Source organism: Homo sapiens, chromosome 9 (assembly GCF_000001405.40).
Source record: "Homo sapiens chromosome 9, GRCh38.p14 Primary Assembly".
Classification (NCBI taxonomy): domain Eukaryota; kingdom Metazoa; phylum Chordata; class Mammalia; order Primates; family Hominidae; genus Homo; species Homo sapiens.
In genome coordinates this window covers 76363357-76384496 of record NC_000009.12, presented here as the reverse complement: position 1 = coordinate 76384496, position 21140 = coordinate 76363357, and the positions used below count along the sequence as shown (strand labels likewise).

Sequence of the window (21140 nt, the reverse complement as noted above, 5' to 3'; positions counted from 1 at the left end):
AAGTCTGTGACTGTGCTGTCAGCTCCAAATTCACCATTGATACTCTGATGTCGCTGTGACTCTACATTTCTTTGACAATTGGCTTCCTTTTAGGTCAGGTCATAAATGGAATTTGAACCCCAGGTTGTCATTTCTCAGGCAGCTCAGTAAGTCCCTGGACCTACCCTGTGCTTATTTTTTGTTCCCACGTGTATATTTGAGATAGACATACTTGACTATTGACAGAATTTCCACTTAGCTTCCCTGACCATTACAAGTGCCAAGTAGAAGCCAGGATAGTAAACCACAACAATGCTACATCTCCAGGAAAATTGGAGAGGTCATCATCAAAAATCCTGAAAGATTAGCTGGGTGTGGTGTGGTGGGCCTATGGTTCCAGCTATTCGGTAAACTGAGCTGGGAGAATAGCTTGAGCTCCTGAGTTCAAGACTGCAGTATGCTCTAATCATGCCCATGAATAGCCACTGCACTCCAGTTTGGACAACAAAGGGAGACCCTGTCTCAAAAAAAAAAAAAAAAAAAAAAAAAAAAAGCTGAAAGTTTGAGGATAGAGGCTGCTATTATATCTGTTTAGCCTGCACAGAAATTTGCTAAATCTTGGAGAATGACTATTATCAGCTAATCAAGTGATGATTTCAATTGCAGCTATTGTCTGCGATATGTAAAAGTATCAGCAAATGTCTAAGGACTGCTACAAAGAACATTCTGAACACAATGCAATGGAGAAAGAAATTAGGCATAAAAATACAAAAATGTCACAATGTAAAGCTATTTTGTAATGAATGATAATATGTGACAAACATTTGTAGAATGCAGCTAACACTTAAAAGATTTATAGTTTTAAATACTATTAGACAAAGAAGATTGAAGATGAGTCATGATCTAAGCTTTCATCTCAAAAAGCTAGAAAAAGAACAGTAAAAGAAACCAGACACCTCACAAAAACACGTATGTGTATAAATTTCAAGAACAGGCAAAAATCATCTACAGCTGGGGTCCCCAACCCCAGACCATGGATTGGTACCGTGGCCACGGATTAGTACATTAGGAACTGGGCCATATAGCAGGAGGTAAGCCGCTGGCGAGTGAGCATTACCACCTGATCTGGTTAGGCTTTGTGTCCCCACCCAAATCTCATCTTGAATTATAATCCCCATAATCCTCACGTGTCAAGGAAGAGAACAGGGGAATCATGGGGGAAGCCACCAGCCATGTGGAACTGAGTCAATTAAACCTCTTTCCTTTATAAATTTCCCAGTCTCAGGCAGTTCTTTATAGCAGTGTGAGAATGGATTAATACACCACCTGAGCTCCGCCTCCTGTCACATCAGCGGGGGCATTAGATTCCCAGGAGAGTGAAGCCTGTTGTGAACTATGCATGCGAGGGATCTAGGTTGCTCACTCCTTATAATAATCCAATGAAGTGGAAGAATGTCATCTGGAAACCATCCCCACGACCCATCCATGAAAAAATTGTCTTCCAGGAAACTGGTCCTTGGTGCCAAAAAGGTTGGGGACCACTGATCTACAGCAATAAAGGTCAGGTTGATTCTTTAGGATGGGGTTGACAGGAGGATCATAAGGGTGTTGGGAACTTGTTTTACTCTCCTATTTCTAGACTGGGGCAATGGTTGCCTAGTGTGCTCACTTTGAAAACTCATCAAGCTTTATCCTTGTGTACAGACAAATAACAATGTTCTATGTAGGCCGGGCGCCGTGGCTTACATCTGTAATCCTAGCACTTTGGGAGGCTGAGGTGGGTGGATCACATGAGGTCAGGAGTTCAAGACCAGCCTGGCCAACATGGTGAAACTCTGTCTCTACTAAAAATACAAAAATTAGCCAGGCGCAGTGGCTCACGTCTGTAATCCCAGCATTTTGGGAGGCCGAGGTGGGCGGATCACGAGGTCAAGAGATCGAGACCATCCTGGCTAACATGGTGAAACCCCGTCTCTACTAAAAATACAAAAAAAAAAAAAAAAAAAATTAGCTGGGCATGGTGGTGGGCGCCTGTAGTCCCAACTGCTCGGGAGGCTGAGGCGGGAGAATGGCGTGAACCCACGAGGCGGAGCTTGCAGTGAGCCAAGATCGCGCCACTGCACTCCAGCCTGGGTGACAGAGCAAGACTCCCTCTCAAAAATAAATAAATTAAATAAATAAATAAATAAATAAATAAAATAAAAATTAGTCGAGTGTGGTGGCGGGCGTCTGTAATCCCAACAACTCAAGAGGCTGAAGCAGGGGAATTGAACCTGGCTGAGATGGTGCCACTGCACTCCAGCCTGGGTGACAGAGTGAGAGTCCATCTCAAAAAAAAAAAAAAGTTCTGTATAGCTCAGGTATGACTATCATTTACATGGTCATAGAATTATAGCACTGAATTTTTATGTAACAAAATGTTATGTATATTAACTGGAGGAGGAGGAAATGGGAAGTATGCAGGGGTGGCAACAGAAGGGAGGGATCTGGAGAAGAACTGCTCATCTTGCGTTAGTGGGAATGAGTAGATAGATGCCTAGCCTGGAAACAAGCAGCAATCTAAGCATCTCACAGTTAGGGAGATAGATCTTAAATAGCTGAAAGGGTTGAAGTCGGTTGCTTTTAAGAAATGGGAAATGTGATGTGATGTTAATGACAGGTTAATGTTTCTTTTTCTTAATACAACTTGTAGAACAATTTGATTCTTCAAACTACATGCAGGTTTATCTTGATGAAAAGAAAAATTAGCCTTTAAAAAGTTAATTATGGGCCAGGCACAGTGGCTCACATATCTGTAATCCTAGTACTTTGGGAGGCCGAGGCAGCGGATCACTTGAGGCCAGGAGTTCAAGACCAGCTTGGCCAGCATGGCGAAACCACTGCCTCTACTAAAAATACGAAAATTAGCCAGGCATGGTGGTGCATGCCTGTAATCCCAGTTACTTTAGAGGCTGAGGCATGAGAATCGCTTGAATCTGGGAGGTGGAGGTTGCAGTGAGTCAAGATTGTGCTACTGCACTCCAGCCTAGGTGACAGAGTCTCAAAAAAAAAAAAAGTTAATTATGTATTTCTAGAGTGTTCAGAAAGTTGGGAAACATGGGATGAACTTTTTTCTTTACATCTTCCATATTGTATATTCTTTTACTTAGTAGCAAAAGATCGAATGCTTTTTTAACCTCATTTATTTGTGGGCAGAACACTTAAAATCTACTCTCTTAGCAACCAGGGTGAACTTTTTTTTTTTTTTAAGACGGAGTCTCGCTGTGTTGCCCAGGCTGGAATGCAATGGCGCAATCTCGGCTCACTGCAACCTCTGCCTCCCGGGTTCAAGCAATTCTTCTGCCTCAGCTTCCTGAATAGATGGGATTACAGGCACCTGCCACCACACCTGTCTAATTTTTGTATTTGTAGTAGAGACGGGGTTTCACCATGTTAGCCAGGCTGGTCTCAAACTCCCGACCTCAGGGGATCCACCTGCCTCGGCCTCCAAAAGTGTTGGGATTACAGGCGTAAACCACCGTGCACGGCCAACTTATTTTTAAACAGGATATTGTATTTGCAAATTTCATGCCCAGTATGTTTTCATTAGGTTTTTAGACATCTTTTTAGGTAAAGTACTTCTAAATTTAATGAGCCCAACTATTAATGTGGAAAAAAACCCACACACATACTCTATAGAGCATTTCTTTACTTGCATCAATAAATACTTATAGAGCACTTCATCAATAAATACTGTAAATGCCACATGTGTCTAGTGGCCACTGTATTAGACAATGCAACTATGAGGGTCTATAAGTCTGGAAACAGGAGATAGTAAATTGTACTTTTTTTTTCAGATTAACACTTGGACTCACTGCTTTAATTTTGAGCAGCTTCATCTGAAAATGTATTGAGCATTTTACCTGAAAATATAACTACATTCTGACTAAACTTTTTTTTTTTAATCTGAAGCGGAGAAATGCAGTCCATAGTGTATCTCTATCTTGATTGTAGGAAGCTTAGGGCTAAATTAGTTCAGTCACAGTAACTATAATTACTTAGAACCGTGATTTTCAAAACGTTCTCCAAAGAGCCCTGGGGCCTCACAGAAGTGTCTTGGTGATGAGCAAGCAAAGGGGTCTCTGCCCCTTCCCAACCTTAAGACAGCAATATTTTTCATTTGTTCGTTTGTTTTAAATTTGTTTAGAGATGGGATCTCGCTCTGTTGCCCATACTGGTGTGCAGTGGCGTGATCATAGCTCACTGCAGCCTAGAACTCCTGGGCTCAAGGGATCCTCGCGCCTTAGCCTTCCCAGTAGCTGGGACTACACGTACGTGCCACTGTGCTCAGCACTTTTTGTTGTTGTTGTTTTTTAAGAGTCAGGGTCTTCCTCTGACACCCAGGCTGGAGTGCAGTGACATGATCATGGCTCATTGCAGCCTCAAATTCCTGGCATCAAGTGATCCTCCTGCCTCAGTCTCCCAAGGAGCTGAAATCACAGGCCTGGATCATTGCGCCTGGCTTGTGCAGCACTCTCAATTGTTTTATTTTTATTCATTTACTTATTCTCACCCATGGACTCAGGTCACACTAATTGTTTTATATATGGGTTCCTTAGAAGACTTCATTGCGTAAAAAGGCCTCCAATGCTAAGAAGTACTAGGTAACTTCTGCTTGGTTTGATTATTTACACTTCCTTCCTCCTCCCTCATGGTTCACATTCTCTATTTTCACATCAACAACATACACATAATAGGCAGCGCCTCAAGCACTTTTCTGGAAGCAGTCCATGTCAATCCTAGGAGTCACCACCTCTAGGGCACTGAGCGGATTCCCAGGTGTGTGTTCTGCTTGGCTCCAAGTAAACATATACCAGCTGCTAACCACAAGTCAGTCATGGGAATTTCAGGCTCATTTCAGAGGCCCTTTAGGTCTTTCTGAGCCTTCAAAATATTTTCTGGGGTTGCCCAGGGAGTTGTTTTGCTTACTGATTTGAGGATATTTCAAATTTATTAATGGCTCCTCATCTAGTACAGAATTTCTGTCAAATGAAGTTTTTGTTTTATTTTACATTTTATCTCCTGAAATCAACAAAACTTAAGATTCTGAGCTTCCCAGCATATTTCAAAACCAGACTTTTCCCCTGGCCCTTCATCTGACCAGCTGATTTATTCGGTTCTCTACTATTTTCTGTGGACTTGGTTTGAGTATGTTTTTGAAATTTTAGAAGATGGAAGGCAATGTTACCTTGGATTCTTTGCTCTTTTGGAAAGTTTATTTTCTTCCTTTTTAGACAGTTTTCCTTTTTAGACAGTCTTGCTTTGTTATTGCAACAGCTTAACTACATTGAAGATACCTCGTTCTTTGTAACATTTTAAAAGATAAGCAGAGATAACTGGATGCACATTGAACATTCAAAAGAAAAAAAATTTTTAAAAAAGAAAAATGAGGCCAGCATGGTGGTTCTCGCCTATAGTCCCAGCATTTTGGGAGGCAGAGGTGGGAGGATCACTTGATCCTGGAGTTCAAGGACAGCCTGGGCAACATGGTGAAGCCCTGTCTCCACAAAAAATACAAAAATTAGCTGGGTGTGGCGGTGTGTGCCTGTGGTCCCAGCTACTCCAGAGGCTGAGGTGGGAGGATAGCTTCAGTCTAGGAGGTAGAGGCTGCAATGAGCCATAATTGCATCATTGCATTCCAGACTGCAGACTGGGTGACAGAGTATGACTCTGTCTCAAAAAAGAAAAAGAAAAAAAAGAAAACCAGAAAAAAAAATTAGGTCCCCATGTTTCACTGTAGAGATTCAACAGGTGAGAGAGTATATTTTCTCCATTTCATCTACTGAACTGGTAAATTTCAGCAGTTGTAGCAGCAAGAATTTCAACGTGCTTTTCTTTATATCACTTCATTGTTCATCACAATACATCTGAACCATCTAGCTAGATGTCACTGTTACTGCACTTCAGAAGAAACTGAAAGTCAAAGATAAACTGAGACCAACTCAAACGGTGTAGCCAATATACCTCAGAGCTAAGCGTCAAATCTTAGTCTTCAGCTTAGATTCAGAGGGACATAATCTTAGTAGAATCAGGCTTAGCTGCCATGCCCTGGAGTTGTGAACATCTGGGACTCGGGTCCCTGTGAGCTGTGGATGCTGGAGGGTAAGTGAGGACGATCTGCAGGCCCACCAGTACAGCTTCTGTAGGACATGTCAGTTCATCCTTTGCTTGGCTCTTGCCGCTGCTAGCTGGATTGTTTCAGGCACCAGGATAAAGTTAGCAAAGTTGGAGATCAACCTTTTAGCAGAGGCAGCAAAAAGGCAGAAACTTCATAGACACATAAGCCCTAATCAACTTGATACACTGTGGACAGGAACAAAGTCTCTGAGCCTGGAGGAATTGGGATGTAACAAGGATCCAGAACACAGACTGGACCAGAATAGTCAACTAATGTCAGGAGAGAATAAGCTTAAATCTAAGCCCCTGGCAAGCTTCTTGGCCTACCTGTTGTTATTCCTTTGACTCATAGCTATCTTTTGTTCCCTGTAGAGTTTTACCACACCTGGACTCTCCATAGCAAGCTCATGTTCCCTAGTAATCCCCAAACTCTGATTGCTTATCCAGATTCCAAGCCTTGGCTCATTTCTTCCCATTCCCTCCACTTATGCCTACCCATCTGTAAGATGATGCAAATAAGGAGCCCTTCATTTCTTCATACTTTTGGAAGAGGCTGCCCAGGGTAAAATCTTCGTGATAGATGCAAATTGATACACATTCCAAGTCCTAGAAAATCCAGGTCATGCTAAAAGATTGTGAAACCCTTTCTGCCCATAACTAATTTCAATTTATAAGGGAGTGGAGTTGAAGAGGGGAGGGGGGAAGAATTCCTTTGGAGATATCAGTGTGCTCCGCCTATATCCCCTTTAAGTATCAATCAGGGAGCTTGACTTGTGTCCCCCTAGCTTAGGAGGTGGGACATAAGAATTGTATGAGAAGTTGTGGCTGGATTGGCAAGAGAACACAGCAGGAAGAGAGAAGGCAGCACTTTCATCCTCTCTGTAGGGGGTTGAGGGTGGACAAAGATGCATGCTTCCCATGGACCAGGTCTGCAGATATGACTGGAGTCATATTTGCAGAAGATTCCATTCAAGATGGCAGCCTGGAGAGGTAAAGTGACCCAGAAGAGGGACAGATGAAAGACTTCCAGAAGCTCAGGGTCTGAAATGCTTCTTGGAGGCAGTCTGCTAAAGGAGGCATTGGGCATACTACAGACATTGCAATTGAATTGCCCCAAAAGGGAAAGTTCAGAAAGAGAATATGTTTTCATCACAGCAAGCTGAGAGTCAGCCACGTAGGGTTGGGTTCTCTTCCCTAATCTAGAGTTTCTCAAACTATATACTGTGAGATCAAATTAGTGGATTTTGGTCATCTTTTAAAAAATAATAATAAACTAGAAAGCATTGGAAAATATATTGGTTGGATAAATATTGTTTCCTGAAACTTTTGCTTCAGTTTTATAAATAAGTGTTGGTGTAAATTTTATTTTTTACTGTGAATGTGGTCCAAAAAAGTGAAAAGTTCCTGTTTTAATTTGTTCTCCCTGTGCTTGGTTTTGGAGGGATTAGGCAGCTGCAATACGGGAGATCAAGATCAAGGCCTCTGGAGCCAGGCAAGTTATTTTACCTCTTTGTGGTTTAGTGTCTTATCCATAAAACCCGGATAACAATAGTGCCTACCTCATAGGGTTGTTAGGATGATTAAAAGGATGAAACTATCTGATCCATGCAAAGTGCTTCTAATGGTACCTAAAAAACAGTATGTGCTTCACAAATGCCAATTGTTTTTGTGGTGCTGGAGATTTTTTTTTATCATGGCCAAAGATAACAATGTGATTTTAAAGACACAGTAAATTCTTCCCTAAATTATGTGCACAGTCCAGTTTTGTTCAGGTCAAGACAATGATTTCTGTGAGCAAATACATACTCCTTAAATATTTATGGAGTAGCTATTGTATGCTGGCATTCTGCTATGTGCTAGGGGTACAGAGTGGAATAAAATAATATCCCTGACCTTGAAGAACATACAGTCTCCAAAAGAAATTCCAATTTATTTGACTTTATCTTCATCACCCCCATGTGGTGCCTGGCATATTGTAGGTCCCTAGGGAATAGATGTTTGTTTGTTTGTTTGTTTAAGAGACAAGGTCTTGCTCTGTCACCCAGACTGGAGTGCAGTGGTGGGATTGTAGCTCACTACAGCCTCCAACTCCTGAACTCAAGCGATCCTCCCACCTCAGCCTCCCAAGTAGCTGGGACCACAGGTGTGCACCACCATGCTTAGCTAGTTTTTAATTTTTTTGTAAAGATGGGATCTCCCTATGTTACTCAGCTGGTTTCGAATGCCTGGACTCAAGCAATCCTCCCAGCTCAGTCTCCCAAAGTGCTGGGATTACAGGTGTGAGCCACCACACCTGGCCTCTAGAAAATATATATTGAGTGCATTTTGTTGGAAGGAATCATTAGCTCTCTTTACCTCAGCCAGATGCAGTAAATAAGGGAGCCTCTTATCATGTCATCTTTTCTTTTCTTTTCTTTTTTGAGATGGAGTTTATCTCTTGTTGCCCAAGCTGGAGTGCAATGGTGCGATCTCAGCTCACCACAACCTCCGTCTCCCCGGTTCAAGCAATTCTCCTGCCTCAGCCTCCCGAGTAGCTGGGATTACAGGCACACACCACCACGCCCGCCTAATTTTTTGTATTTTTAGTAGAGACGGGGTTTCTCCACGTTGGTCAGGCTGGTCTCAAACTCCCGACCTCAGGTGATCTGCCCACCTTGGCCTTCCAAAGCATGTCATCTTTTCTAGTACATTTGAGATGTGGAGGAAAGAACAGCAGCATCGGAGACTTTTTCTGTAAATGCCAAAGGTTTCCAAAAGTCTACATTTGAAGAAAGATGAATTTGCTCTTGTAGACATCCTCTGGTGTCTCCTTTATACTGTTTATTGAAAAAAGTTTCTAGGGAAGGAAAAAGAAAGGAAACAGATGGCTCCAAATGACAGAGCAGAATCTTACGATTTCTTCTCTCTTTGCTGCTTGGAGCAGCTGAGAAGCCAGCAGGAAAGAAAAGCAGGGATGTTGTGTGTCCTCCTGAATCATTCATCACCTCCTTCCTCCACTCCAGCATTCCCAGTCCCTCAGCTATGTAAACAGAGCTCTGACGTCACAGCCCAGGGAGGTCAGGCAGGGTGAGTAGGGCCAACACTTCCTCCCACACCCTGCTGTTCAAAGCATTGCAGACTTCCAAGCAGGTTGCATGGGAAATTAACCAATTGACAGGGTGGTTTTGTTTTTGTTTTTGTTTTTGTTTTTTTTAGCACAGAGGGAGTAAGAACCAGAGAAGAAATGGAAAAAAAAAAAGGGTGATTTGTGATTTGGGACAATAAAGCCATCCCTAACCTTGCTTTGGAAAGAGTATAGAGCTGTAGGCTGTAGAGTGACAACACTAGTGCGGCCCAGGGTCAGAATGTGGGCGCGTCTCCTAAAAGGGCCAAGAACTACCATTAGAAAGGGCAACAGTAAAAATTGACACTTAATTGTCATGTGCGTTTACACGTTTATAACGCACAATGCATACCCGTATATATTATGTCAAATGAGTTGGCCAGTGTCACGTGGAGCTGAAATGGGAATGAAGATATCCTGGACTTGAAGACCAGCTTGCTTTTAATTAAGCTTTTCATGTCTGAAATTCTTCCCCTTCCATATCAAGCCATCTTCCTCAGTGCTTACATGATTTGTAGATCTTAAAGAGCTGTTCTCCTCCCCTCAAAGCTACCACAGCCCAGGGAGGTCAGGCAGGGTGAGTTTGGTATCTAAATTCTTTGATCCACTTGTGGGTGGAGGTAGATGCAGTAGCTGATGCATTTTGCAAGCTGATCAGTGCTGTGAGTATATTGAATATCAGGGTCAGCTCTGTGGGTGTGCCCTGTGGCCAATCAACAACACAGGGCCTCATGCTTATTTTTAGTTTTTGAGACAGGGTCTCACTTTGTCACCTAGGCTGGAGTGCAGTGGCACAATCTCGACTCACTGCAGCCTTGACCTCCTGGGCTCAAAGGATCCTCCCACCTCAGCCTCACAAATAGCTGGGGCTACAGGTGCCCACCATCCCATCCAGTTAATTTTTGTAGTTTTTGTAGAGACGGGATTTCACCATGTTGCCCAGGCTGGTCTTGAACTCCTGAGCTCAAGGGATCCGCCCACCTCAGCCTCCCAGAATGTTGGGACTACAGGTGTGCACCACCATGCCTGACCAGGGCCTGGTGCTTATATGGGTCCCATGTGCTGCTGCTGCCATCTTGAAATTTGTAATATTTTTACACTGGACACCACAAATTATGTTGCCACTACCAATTGACTTCATTCGTTTTCTGAGAAGCCAAATCCAGATGGTTGGTCTGAGAATATTGTTTGATTTCTCCCAGTTTCTGCAGTATAAGTGGCGCATGCCTACCTAGGACAGATAACAGGTGAACAAGGAAATAATTACATTGGTGTAGCAACTTATAGTTTATGACAGACTTTCATGTGCATAATCTTTAACCCTCACGAACAAATGTCAGGAGACAAGTCTATTTAAGGTAATCAGAAACCCATCTATAGGAGATTAAATTGATTTGATAGGCAAACATCTCTTTAAAAGTGAAAATCAGCAGAAAAACAGGACAAAAAATTATCCAGATGTTACACAGCTGTGCTGCAAAGGAAGTTACAAAGTCAATAAAGGACTCAGTGTGGAGTTTAGCCAAAGGGATCATGCGGAATAAAAATTCCAATCACAAGCCAAGGAAGAGAGAGACATTGTTCTTGGAGCAACTTAGAGCATCAGTCACAAAGATCCCTCATGGTTGCTCACAGCCCAGGGATATACATCATAGAGTCCAGCTGAGAACTCCTTTGTCAAGGATTCTGCCTTTGACTCATCACTTCTTGATTAGCAGTTTGATTTGGTTTCTGTGTCCCTTTTTGTTTTTTAAAGCAACAGATCAATACTGAAAACAGGGTTTAAGCCACCTTTATAAGCTTGTTGGCCTGAGACCTAGACTCTCAAATCCAGACCAAATACAACCTTTTGACAACCCGGCAACACCCAGTCTGTGGTTTCTGATTTGCTTCCACCTGGTTGTCTGACCTAATCTCTTGACTCTGCCTGCCCCAGTTGCACAACTACGGTTCTGATCTGAAGTCTAAAGTCCAGGCTGCTGCTGCTTTTGGCAAGGCACTGGCTGGCTGAATTTCCCTGCGGGAACACAATCTATTGCAACTTTGTCCCTAACTCACAGCCATTTGAGGACAGAATGAGACAAAGAAGGATGCCTTCATGACTTTTCACCTCTGTGGTGCAGATATGCTCACTTTTCCAACTCTTTTCTCAGGGCACTCTTCAAATCCTGCATCTTAAGGGGTTTTCTCCATGCATTCAAAGTAAAATTGACCTAGAAGAAAGACTGGATCATTGTTCTCCCTCCTTTTCCAATGTCCTCAGCATACTCCTAAGATTACCTGTGGCATTGCAGCCAAACTCGAACATTCAAGTTTTTCACAACTTGGAGAGAAAGGAGAGGTTCATTGTAGAAGCATGCATTCTTTTAGATGATCAAGGTATAAATGGGATTTCTATCAAGAGACTATCCTGCTGGGATGCAGCTATGGTTGCTTTATGGAGAGGGAAAAGCTGTAGGGGAGATAAAAACATTTCACCAGAGGTCAAGTACTTGGCCAGTGTATTTATAGATCTTCTGGCCCTTTAACCAAAACTTGATGACTTGAGTCAAGAATGTATTTTATTTTCTCCTGGTTCAGAAGCAAATCACTTTGGGTTTCTGAAAGAGCAGTCCTTTTGTTTCTCTGTCTGCTGAGAAATCAAGTTAGAAAATCCAGTTAATGATCTAGTTACTTAAAACCACTCATTAGAGTGTAATTGCTTTTTGGAGGAAAAAAGGAAGGTCTTGTTAAAAAGAGCTGAGTGGGTGTGTCTTTGGTTCCAGATTAAGTTTATAGAGAAGTCAAATCTACTTTTCTCTCTCTTATGTAATCTTGCTTCACAAATCCTGTCAAAACAGATTCACAGAAGGAAGATTATTAACAAGCTACACAGCTACTAAAATGATATGGGAGGGGTGAGGGAAAATTAACAATTATTGAACCCCTTCTGCATACCAGGAGTATTGATGGTGGGATCTCATTCCTCACAGCAACCTTGGGAGGTCAGGAATGCAAGTTTTCCACATGTAACAGAGAATCAGAAGTTTAGTAACTTGCCCAAGATTCCACATCAGCAAATGTCAGAACTGAAATTCCATCCTAGGAATCTTTGGCTCCCACCCAAACTCATGATGTTTCTGTTATGCCAAGCCCTCTATATAAACATAAATACTGTATAGGAATGATAAATCTAATCATGGCATCACCTACTGAGGTTTATCTCTTTTTGTTTTTAAGACAGAGTCTCACTTCCTTGCCTAGGCTGGAATGCAGCAGTATGATCTCAGCTCACTGCAACCTCCGCTTTCCAGGTTCAAGTGATTCTTATGCCTCAGCCACCCAAGTAGCTGGGATTACAGGCATGCACCACCATGCTCAGCTAAGTTTTGTATTTTTAGTAGACATGGGGTTTGACCATGTTAGCCAGGCTGGTCTTGAACTCCTGACCTCGAGTGATCCACCCACCGCAGCCTCCCAAAGTGCTGGGATTACAGGCGTAAGCCACTGTGCCCAGTCTTTTCTTTTATATATATATATATATATATATATATATATACACACATATATATATATGTATATATATGTGTGTGTGTGTGTGTGTGTGTGTGTGTATGTGTGTGTGTATATATGTATTTTTTTTTAAGACAGAGTCTCACTTCCTCGCCCAGCCTGGAATGCAGTGGTTAGGTCTCAGCTCACTGCAGCCTCTGGTTTCTGGGTTCAAGAGATTCTTATGCCTCAGCCACCTAAGTAGCTGGGATTACAGGTGTGCATCACCACGCCTGATTAAGTTTTGTATTTTTAGTAGACATGGGGTTTCACCATGTTGGCCCAGCTGGTCTTGAACTCCTGACATCAAGTGATCCACCCACCTCAGCCTCCCAAAGTGTTGGGATTACAGGCGTGGGACACTGTGCCCAGCCTTTACTTTGATTTTTTTTTTCCTTTTTTTCTTTTTTTGAAATGGAGTCTCCTTCTGTCACCCAGGCTGGAGTGCAGTGGTGCAATCTTGGCTCTCTGTAACCTCCACCTCCCAGGTTCAAGTGATTCTTATGCCTCAGCCTCCTGAGTAGCTGGGAATACAGGCGTGCACTGCCACATTCAGCTAATTTTCGTATTTTTAGTAGACATGGGGTTTCACCATATTGGCCAGGCTGATCTTGAACTCCTGACCTCAAATGACCCACCCACCTTGGCCTCCCAAAGTGCTGGGATTACAGGTGTGAGCCACCTTGCCTGGCCTTTTCTTTGATTTTTTTTAAAACAAAGCTGAGCTGAAAGACCACTGAGATTTAAAAAAGAGAAGAGCTTTATACTTAGGAATAGTCTATGTTTGAACAGAATGGGATGTAATTATTGAAATCGAAGTGTGGGTATAGTTTGTTTAGCTGGCACTGAGCCAATGTCTTTGGATGCTGGTGGAACTTTCCCACTTCTTAGGGTCATTGGTTCCTCGGAAAACTATCACAAGAAAAGGAAAATTAGGTGGGAAGAGAAAATAGGGTCCATTGATGACATTACTTATTACTTTTGCCTTGCCTCTGCCAACTTCAAGGAGGTTGGGTTGGCTCAGGGATTAAAGTCCTTTATCATGTTGAGTTGAAATTGACCTGTGATTTCAAGATCACTTGAAAAGTGCTTGCCATTGTATAGACCACAGGAAAGTCAAGTTAGAGACTTGACGTCTATAGTTACTAAGCTCTGAAGATCCTTTTATTCTCCTAAACACTTTTCTCAACATTTCTTCCAAAAGAGCCTGCATGTGAATAAATTAGCTTTTCCTAACCTTCCCTTTCTTTGTGTTCCAATGTTTTGTTTCCCCCCACCCTCTGAATTATTGCAATGCTCACATTCTCTCTCATATTGTGGCTGTTTGTACACATATATGTTTTTCCACCTAATTACTAAGCTCTTTGAGGGCAGATCATATGTCTTGCTTATCTTTGCTTTCTACGGTTTAGCTAGCATAATCAACATAGGGCTTTATTTTTTTTAATTGCAAAAATACAGTGGAAATGGTTGTGTACATAATAAACTTTTATATCTTGCTTATTATATGTAACTATAATAGCATATTTTGTATAGTCTTTATAAACTTACTTTTAACATGTTATGAAGTAGTTTTATATACAAAAATGAACATTTTGTGTGTGAAAGCTCTGGTTCTGCTTATAATATTTTTTAATGTGGAACTGGTGAATTCAAATAGAACAAACACTTAAAAGACTTTTGATTTTGCTAAATTGATTTCCAAAGGAGTTTTATTGCTGTGGTAGGCCCCTAAGCTTCCCCACCCTAAAACCCGGGACTGAATATGATGAAGTGTCATGCCTGTGACTGTTACAGCCAAAGGGAAATGATCCAGGTGGGTCTAATCTAATCACACAGAGTTATCTCCAGCTGGTGGTGGAAGCAAAGTCAGAAAGATTCAGCTTATGAAAAGGATTCTAAGCACAGTTGCAGGCTTTGAAGAGGAGGGAGCCAAGCGTAAAACCAGAAAGTGACCCCTGGCTGACAGCCAGAAAAGAAACCTCAGTCCTCTAACTGCCAGAAACAATCTGCCAGCTGCCTGAATACCTTGGAAAACAACTCACCTCCGGAGCCTTCAATAAGAGGCCAGCCTGGCTAACACCTTGATTTCGCCCTGGAGTAGACCTAAGCCAAAAACCCAGGGGAGCCCACCTGGTCTTCTGACTTTGAGATAACAAATGAGTGTTGTTTAAAGTAGCTAAATTGTGGTGATTTTTAAGTGCAGCAATGGGAAATAAGGCCGGGCACAGTGGCTCACGCCTTAATCCCAGCACTTTGGGAGGCCGAGGCGGGGGGATCACCTGAGGTCAGGAGTTTGAGACCAGCCTGGCTAACATGGAGAAACCCCGTCTCTACTAAAAATACAAAAATTAGCCAGGTGTGGTGGCAGGTGCCTGTAGTCCCAGCTACTTGTGAGGCTGAGGCAGGAGAATCACTTGAACCCGGGAGGTGGAGGTTGTGGTGAGCCAAGATCACGCCACTGCACTCCAGCCTGGGCAACAAGAGCAAAACTCCATCTCAAAAAAAAGAAAAGAAAAAAAAGAAAATGAAGACATTGGGTTACTCTTTTACCAAGTAACATGAAATTGCCCATGTTCGTGCAGGTGGTAGTGGACAGAACTCCAGAATTGTGTACTGTAATTAAAACAGTGTTTGCTGGCCTGGTATGGTGGCTCACACCTGTAATCCCAGGCCGAGGCAGGCAGATCACCTGAGCTCAGTAGTTCAAGACCAGCCTGGCCAACATGGCAAAACCCCATCTCTACTAAAAATACAAAGTTCAACTGGGTGCGGTGGTGTGCACCTGTAATCTCAGCTACTGGGAAGCTGAGGCAGGAGAGTTGCTAAGACATTATTAAAAATTTGATATTGCTTTCTCATAGCACTGGAGTGTGGGAATAAATGAGATAAAAAGAGGAAATTCTGGATAAGAGATTTGATACTGAGAGAAAAATCACAGAGAAGATTCTACTTAGAAAAGAGTAGTATGTTCTAGATTTATGGAAAAATTATTATATTTTTAAGAGTAGTGTGTTGAAGCTGGCTTCTCTTACCTTACAAAAGCCAATTGTTAAGTTTTCAGGAATCTAGAGAGTTACTTGTTATTTTATTTATTTATTTATCTTGACATGGAGTCTCTCTCTGTTGCCCAGGCTGGAGTGCAACGGGGCAATCTCAGCTCACTGCAACCTCCACCTCCCAGGTTCAAGCAATCCTTCTGCCTCAGCCCCCCGAGTAGCTGGGATCACAGGCGGCCGCCACCACGCCTGGCTAATTTTTGTATTTTTTGTGGAGACGAGGTTCCACCATGTTGGCCAGGCTGGTCTCGAACTCCTGACCTCAGGTGATCCACCTGCCTCGGCCTCCCAAAATGCGAGGGTTACAGGCGTGAACCACTGTGCCCATCCTGAGGGTCACTTGTTAGATACAGCTATCATTAAAAGTTAAGTTACAAAAACTTTCAACTAAAGAAGTTGTATTAGTGGCCAGGCGCGGTGGCTCACGCCTGTAATCCCAGCACTTTGGGAGGCCGAGGCGGGCAGATCACGAGGTCAGGAGATTGAGACCATCCTGGCTAACATGGTGAAACTCCATCTCTACTAAAAATACAAAAAATTAGCCGGGCATGGTGGCGGGCGCCTGTAGTCCCAGCTACTCGGGAGGCTGAGGCAGGAGAATGGCGTGAACCCGGGAGGTGGAGCTTGCAGTGAGCCGAGATGGCGCCACTGCACTCCAGCCTGGGCGACAGAGCAAGACACCATCTCAAAAAAAAAAAAAAAAAAAAGAAGTTATATAAAAACAGGTAAAAAATGCCCCCCCAACTCATCTTTCTTAAGTTTACATTTTATTATTATCTATGCTCTTGAGATTATTTACATCTAATGCATTTGTATGGCAGAAATACTATATGATGGTTTGCTTTTTTCAATTTCTTTCTCACTCTGTATTAAGTGGTATGGCAGTTGAAGCTTGAATTTGGCCATGATGAGAGTACTTACACCATAGAAACAGGCAAATGCCTTTTCTAAGCCAATGAGATATCAGGAAAGCTTTTCAGAGACTTGGATCAGAGCTAAGGCCTTTTTCCTATTGGATGTGGACCAAAGAGAATGCAAACTCGGGCACTGGCGGCAGCCATCTTGCCAGTGTTTAGGGAGACTCCAGTGAGAGTGGAGCCAACATAGCAAAAGGCAGGAGAGAGAGATGGAGACAAACCGGTACTGCGGTCATGGCTTGTTCATTTCCAGCAGTACCTGGTCCCACCCCTAACCCTACACTTTTTTTTTTTTTTTTTTTTCAGTAAGAGACAGGGCTTCACTCTGTCCTCCAGGCTGGAGTTAAGTGGTGCAATCATAGTTCACTGAAGCCTCAAACTCTTGGGTTCAAACAGTCCTCTAGCTTCAGCCTCCCTAGTCACTGGGACAATAGGCTGTGCCACCATGTTCAGTTGTTTTTGTTTTTGTTTTGAGACAGGGTCTCGCTCTGTCGTGCAGGCTGGAATGTAGTGGTGTGATCATGGCTCACTGCAGTCTCAACCCCCTGGGCTCAAGCAATCCCCCCACCTCAGCCTCCCGAGTAGCTGGGATTACAGATGTGTGCCACCATACTGGCTAATTTTTGTATTTTTTGTAGAGATGGGGTTTCGGCCATGTTGCCCAGGCTGACCTCAAACTCCTGGGCTCAAGCAGTCCTCCCACCTGGGCCTCCCAAAGTGCTGGGATTACAGGGTGAGCCACCATGCCGGGCCCTTTACACTTTTTAATTAAGCCAATACATTTTTTTTGTATTTAAGTCAGTTGGGTTGAATTTTCTATCATTTACATTAAAATCACTTTAAATGACACAGCAACGTCTGCACCAGGTCCAGAATTACACTGCTAGCCCCCAAAGTGGCTTCACTTGGTAACAATAACTTAGTCAGAGGGATGGGAATTCTCCATCCTCAATCGTGTTCTGATCTTATATTATAATCCTCTCTTTCACAAACAGATGTTTGCTTCATCTAATAAGCCTTATATAATTTCCCTTGCAGGCTGGGATCAGTTCTCAGTAAACACTTTTGTTAGAGTGATATTCTTTTTTTTTAATTAAAAAAGATTCAAAAAAATAGAAACGGGGTCTTGCGGATAGGATAGGTATTCTTAGCTGCTGGTAACCTAACAGCTACCCTGCCCTACCTTCCTCTTCCGTGATAATGAAAATCGATTTTTATTTAGAGCTGCAAAGCCCCAGAAGATGAGTCATGATTCTTCTAAGTGCATCATGGTAATCTCATTACCCTTTATCACATAATTGCTTTCCAGCCTTCCTTACAGCTAAGTTTGGCCATGGAACCCAGTTCCATGGCTTCTACTCTTAGAAGGCACACATATACAAGCATTTTCATGTCTGTAATCACTCAGCAAATATTTGCCTTGTACCATGTAGTGTGCTGGGCACTAGAACCACAGAGATGAACAAAACATCTGGTCATTAACTTTCTTCACCTTCATGACTTTTTTTTTTTTCTATGTTTGAGAATAATACAAGGTGGCATTAGTGGCTTTAAAACCCCAAAATATAACCTCAAATTTTAATCTTGTTTATTCATTCTCAGAGTGCCTTGCTGAATTACAGCTAGTTAATGTGTGGTGATCAAGTTAGATCTAAAGTCTATATAGGCCAAACATGCATTGATAGAAATTCTATTTCTTTTTTGAAAGTCTTATCTGTATTTCTTTTTTTTTTTTTTTTTGGAGACAGAGTTTTGCTCTTTCGCCCAGGCTGGAGTGAAGTGGTGCAATCTCAGCTCACTGCAACCTCCGCCCCCTGGGTTCAAGTGATTCTCCTGCCTCAGCCTCCCGAGTAGCTGGGATTATAGGCACCCACCACCACATCTGGCTAATTTTAGTATTTTTAGGAGAGACAGGGTTTTGCCACGTTGGCCAGGCTGGTCTTGAACTCCTGACCTCAGGTGATCCACCAGCCTTGGCCTCCCAAAGTGCTAGGATTACAAGCGTGAGCCACCGTTCCCAGCCTGTACTTCTTATATGACAGTGTAAAATGAAGGCCACTATGTATTTCAATTAATGGCATCTAAACTTGGTTCCTCACTTGGGTAGTACACGGAGCAGTTTCTTTTTTTGTGAATTCTAAAGCAAACCTTGTTAACTCTGAACAGATCTTGAGAGATCTAATGTCAGAAGTATGTATTAAGCACCTAAAGTCTTTACCTTCAGTTTTTCTAAATATTTTACCTCCAGTTGATGCCACCTCTGAATCCACATTTGGAAATTCATAATTCTTCAGGTATTTTTTCTTTTATGGGGTAGAACCTCTCATGAATATTTTTTAGTGGGTTGAAACATAGTTACATAGGGTTAATATTTACAGTCACCTAAATTTGTTTCTTTCTTTACCGATCCTCATCTCTGTGCCTCTGGATGAGATTGTGCACCTGAACTGCAGGCTTCCTTTAGGACCTCATTGGCATTGCCTTGTGGTGACTCACCATTATAGTAAATTCCACCCAGCTCAAACTAATCCCAAAATAGGGTTCAGAGATTACAGACAAAGGCTGGGCTAATTCTTTGCATAACAGCCAAGTGGTAGAGCAGAAAAAACATGAATCAGAGAGTCCTAGATTCAAATCCCAGTTTGATCATTTGCAGACACTTTGACTTACAGCATTTTGAGTATCATCACTGAGCCTCCCTTCCTCATTTGTGAAGAGGGATTATATGACTGGTAGAATTGAATTTTAAGAAGACAAGACTCAAAGATATGGAGAAATGATCTAAGCCGTATGTTGTATATGCAGTGCACTCCTGTTTAATCCTGACAGTAAATGGTAAGGAGGGGAGGAGGTGGTGCCAGTTACCCATGAAATAGCTACAAATTAGAGCATACAGATGTGGCTTCATGGGAAGATTTGTGCTTGGACTTAATTTGAAAAAGAAAATGCTATAAGGGATTACTCACCTTATAGCATTTGTGTTGTAAGGAGTCAATAAGATCATCATACGAGTGAAGTGCCAAAGACTATGCCTGGCCCATAGATGTCATTAAAAATGGTAGTTACAGTACTTTTTTCTGCCTAACTATAAAGCAGCATCATTGTCTGAGGTAAATACCTGAGGTTCGTCATCTCATGCCAGGGAAATCGGGGATGCGGACACATAAGAAGTGAGTTTAAGAGCAGAGGTTTAACAGAGGAAAGAGAAAAGAGAATAGCTCTCTCCGGGTGCCCAAGTGGGTCTTCCAGTTTCATGGTGAAATGCACAGGATTTTATAGAGGAGCTGGAGGAGGTGGTGTCTGATTTACATAGGGCCTGAGAGGTTGGTTGGACCAGGTGTACCATTTGCATAGTATGCAAAGAAGATAGCTATCCCATCCTAATCTTTTATTATGAAGATGGGGTCTCTACCTGGCCAGTGCCATGTTGTCTGCTTTTTTACTGCACATGTGGTGATGAAGAAAAGGAAAAAGATAACCTCCATGTTGAATACACCTGCCTTCCAGGTATCCCTTTTCTATTGGCACAGCTGCTGGCATTTACCTATGGAGGCTTTTAGCTTGCTTATCTATGCCTGCACCATGATTTTTTGGGCTGCTTTTTATTAAAAGGAAATCTTATCGAGGACTCTCTCACCCTTACTATCTGCCTAAATAATTTCTTTCTGGCTCCTGTATCAACTAGATTGAAAGTTCCATGAGGACTCAAATCTGATGGATCCCAGTTGCTGTTTTTCCAGTAACTAGAATAGTGCTGGGCACATGCTAGACACTTAACAAATACTTGGTAATTGATTGTTATAATTATTATCATAAAAGTCAGGTAAACTCCAGTGCCTTCTTCAAAGAATCCTGCCTCCATCCTCTTTTTCAAATTAAGTCTAAGCACAAATCTTCCCATGAAGCCACATCTGTATGCTCTAATTTGTAGCTATTTCATGGGTAACTGGCACCACCTCCTCCCCTCCTTACCATTTACTGTCAGGATTAAACAGGAGTGCACTGCATATACAACATATGGCCTAGATCATTTCTCCATATCTTTGAGTCTTGTCTTCTTAAAATTCAATTCTACCAGTCATCCTTGATTGTTAAACAATTGCTGGGCACTGTGCTGGGTTCTAGAAAAGAAACAGTAGCTGCCTCTAGGAGTACCTAGTCTTTCGGTGGATACAGCTTTGTAATCTAACGATTACATCACAAGGTGATATGAAAAGCTATATGCACAGAGTATCTAGGTAGCAGAGATGGGAGAAAGTGATTATCTTTCTCAAAAATTAGGGAAGACTTCCTAGGGGAGGTTATAAGGACATGTGACTTTTCAAGGAAGGTCAGGAATTTTCCAGCTGGTTAAGGTGGGAGAAGAATATTCCAAGGAGAGTAAACAGTATGTGC

The 21140-nt window shown here is 42.4% G+C and overlaps 2 annotated features.

Annotated features, from left to right (window-relative positions):
• Positions 6917 to 7177: a silencer, noted in NCBI's record as "fragment chr9:78992236-78992496 (GRCh37/hg19 assembly coordinates)". NCBI's record gives its function as "represses an EF-1alpha promoter that drives an FKBP-Casp9 reporter gene in an ReSE screen in HepG2 liver carcinoma cells {active_cell/tissue: HepG2}" and the evidence as "EXISTENCE:reporter gene assay evidence [ECO:0000049][PMID:32094911]".
• Positions 19110 to 19404: a silencer, noted in NCBI's record as "tiled region #15008; HepG2 Repressive non-DNase unmatched - State 7:EnhWF, and K562 Repressive non-DNase unmatched - State 23:Low". NCBI's record gives its function as "represses a minimal TATA promoter and a strong SV40 promoter by Sharpr-MPRA in HepG2 and K562 cells {active_cell/tissue: HepG2 | K562}" and the evidence as "EXISTENCE:reporter gene assay evidence [ECO:0000049][PMID:27701403]".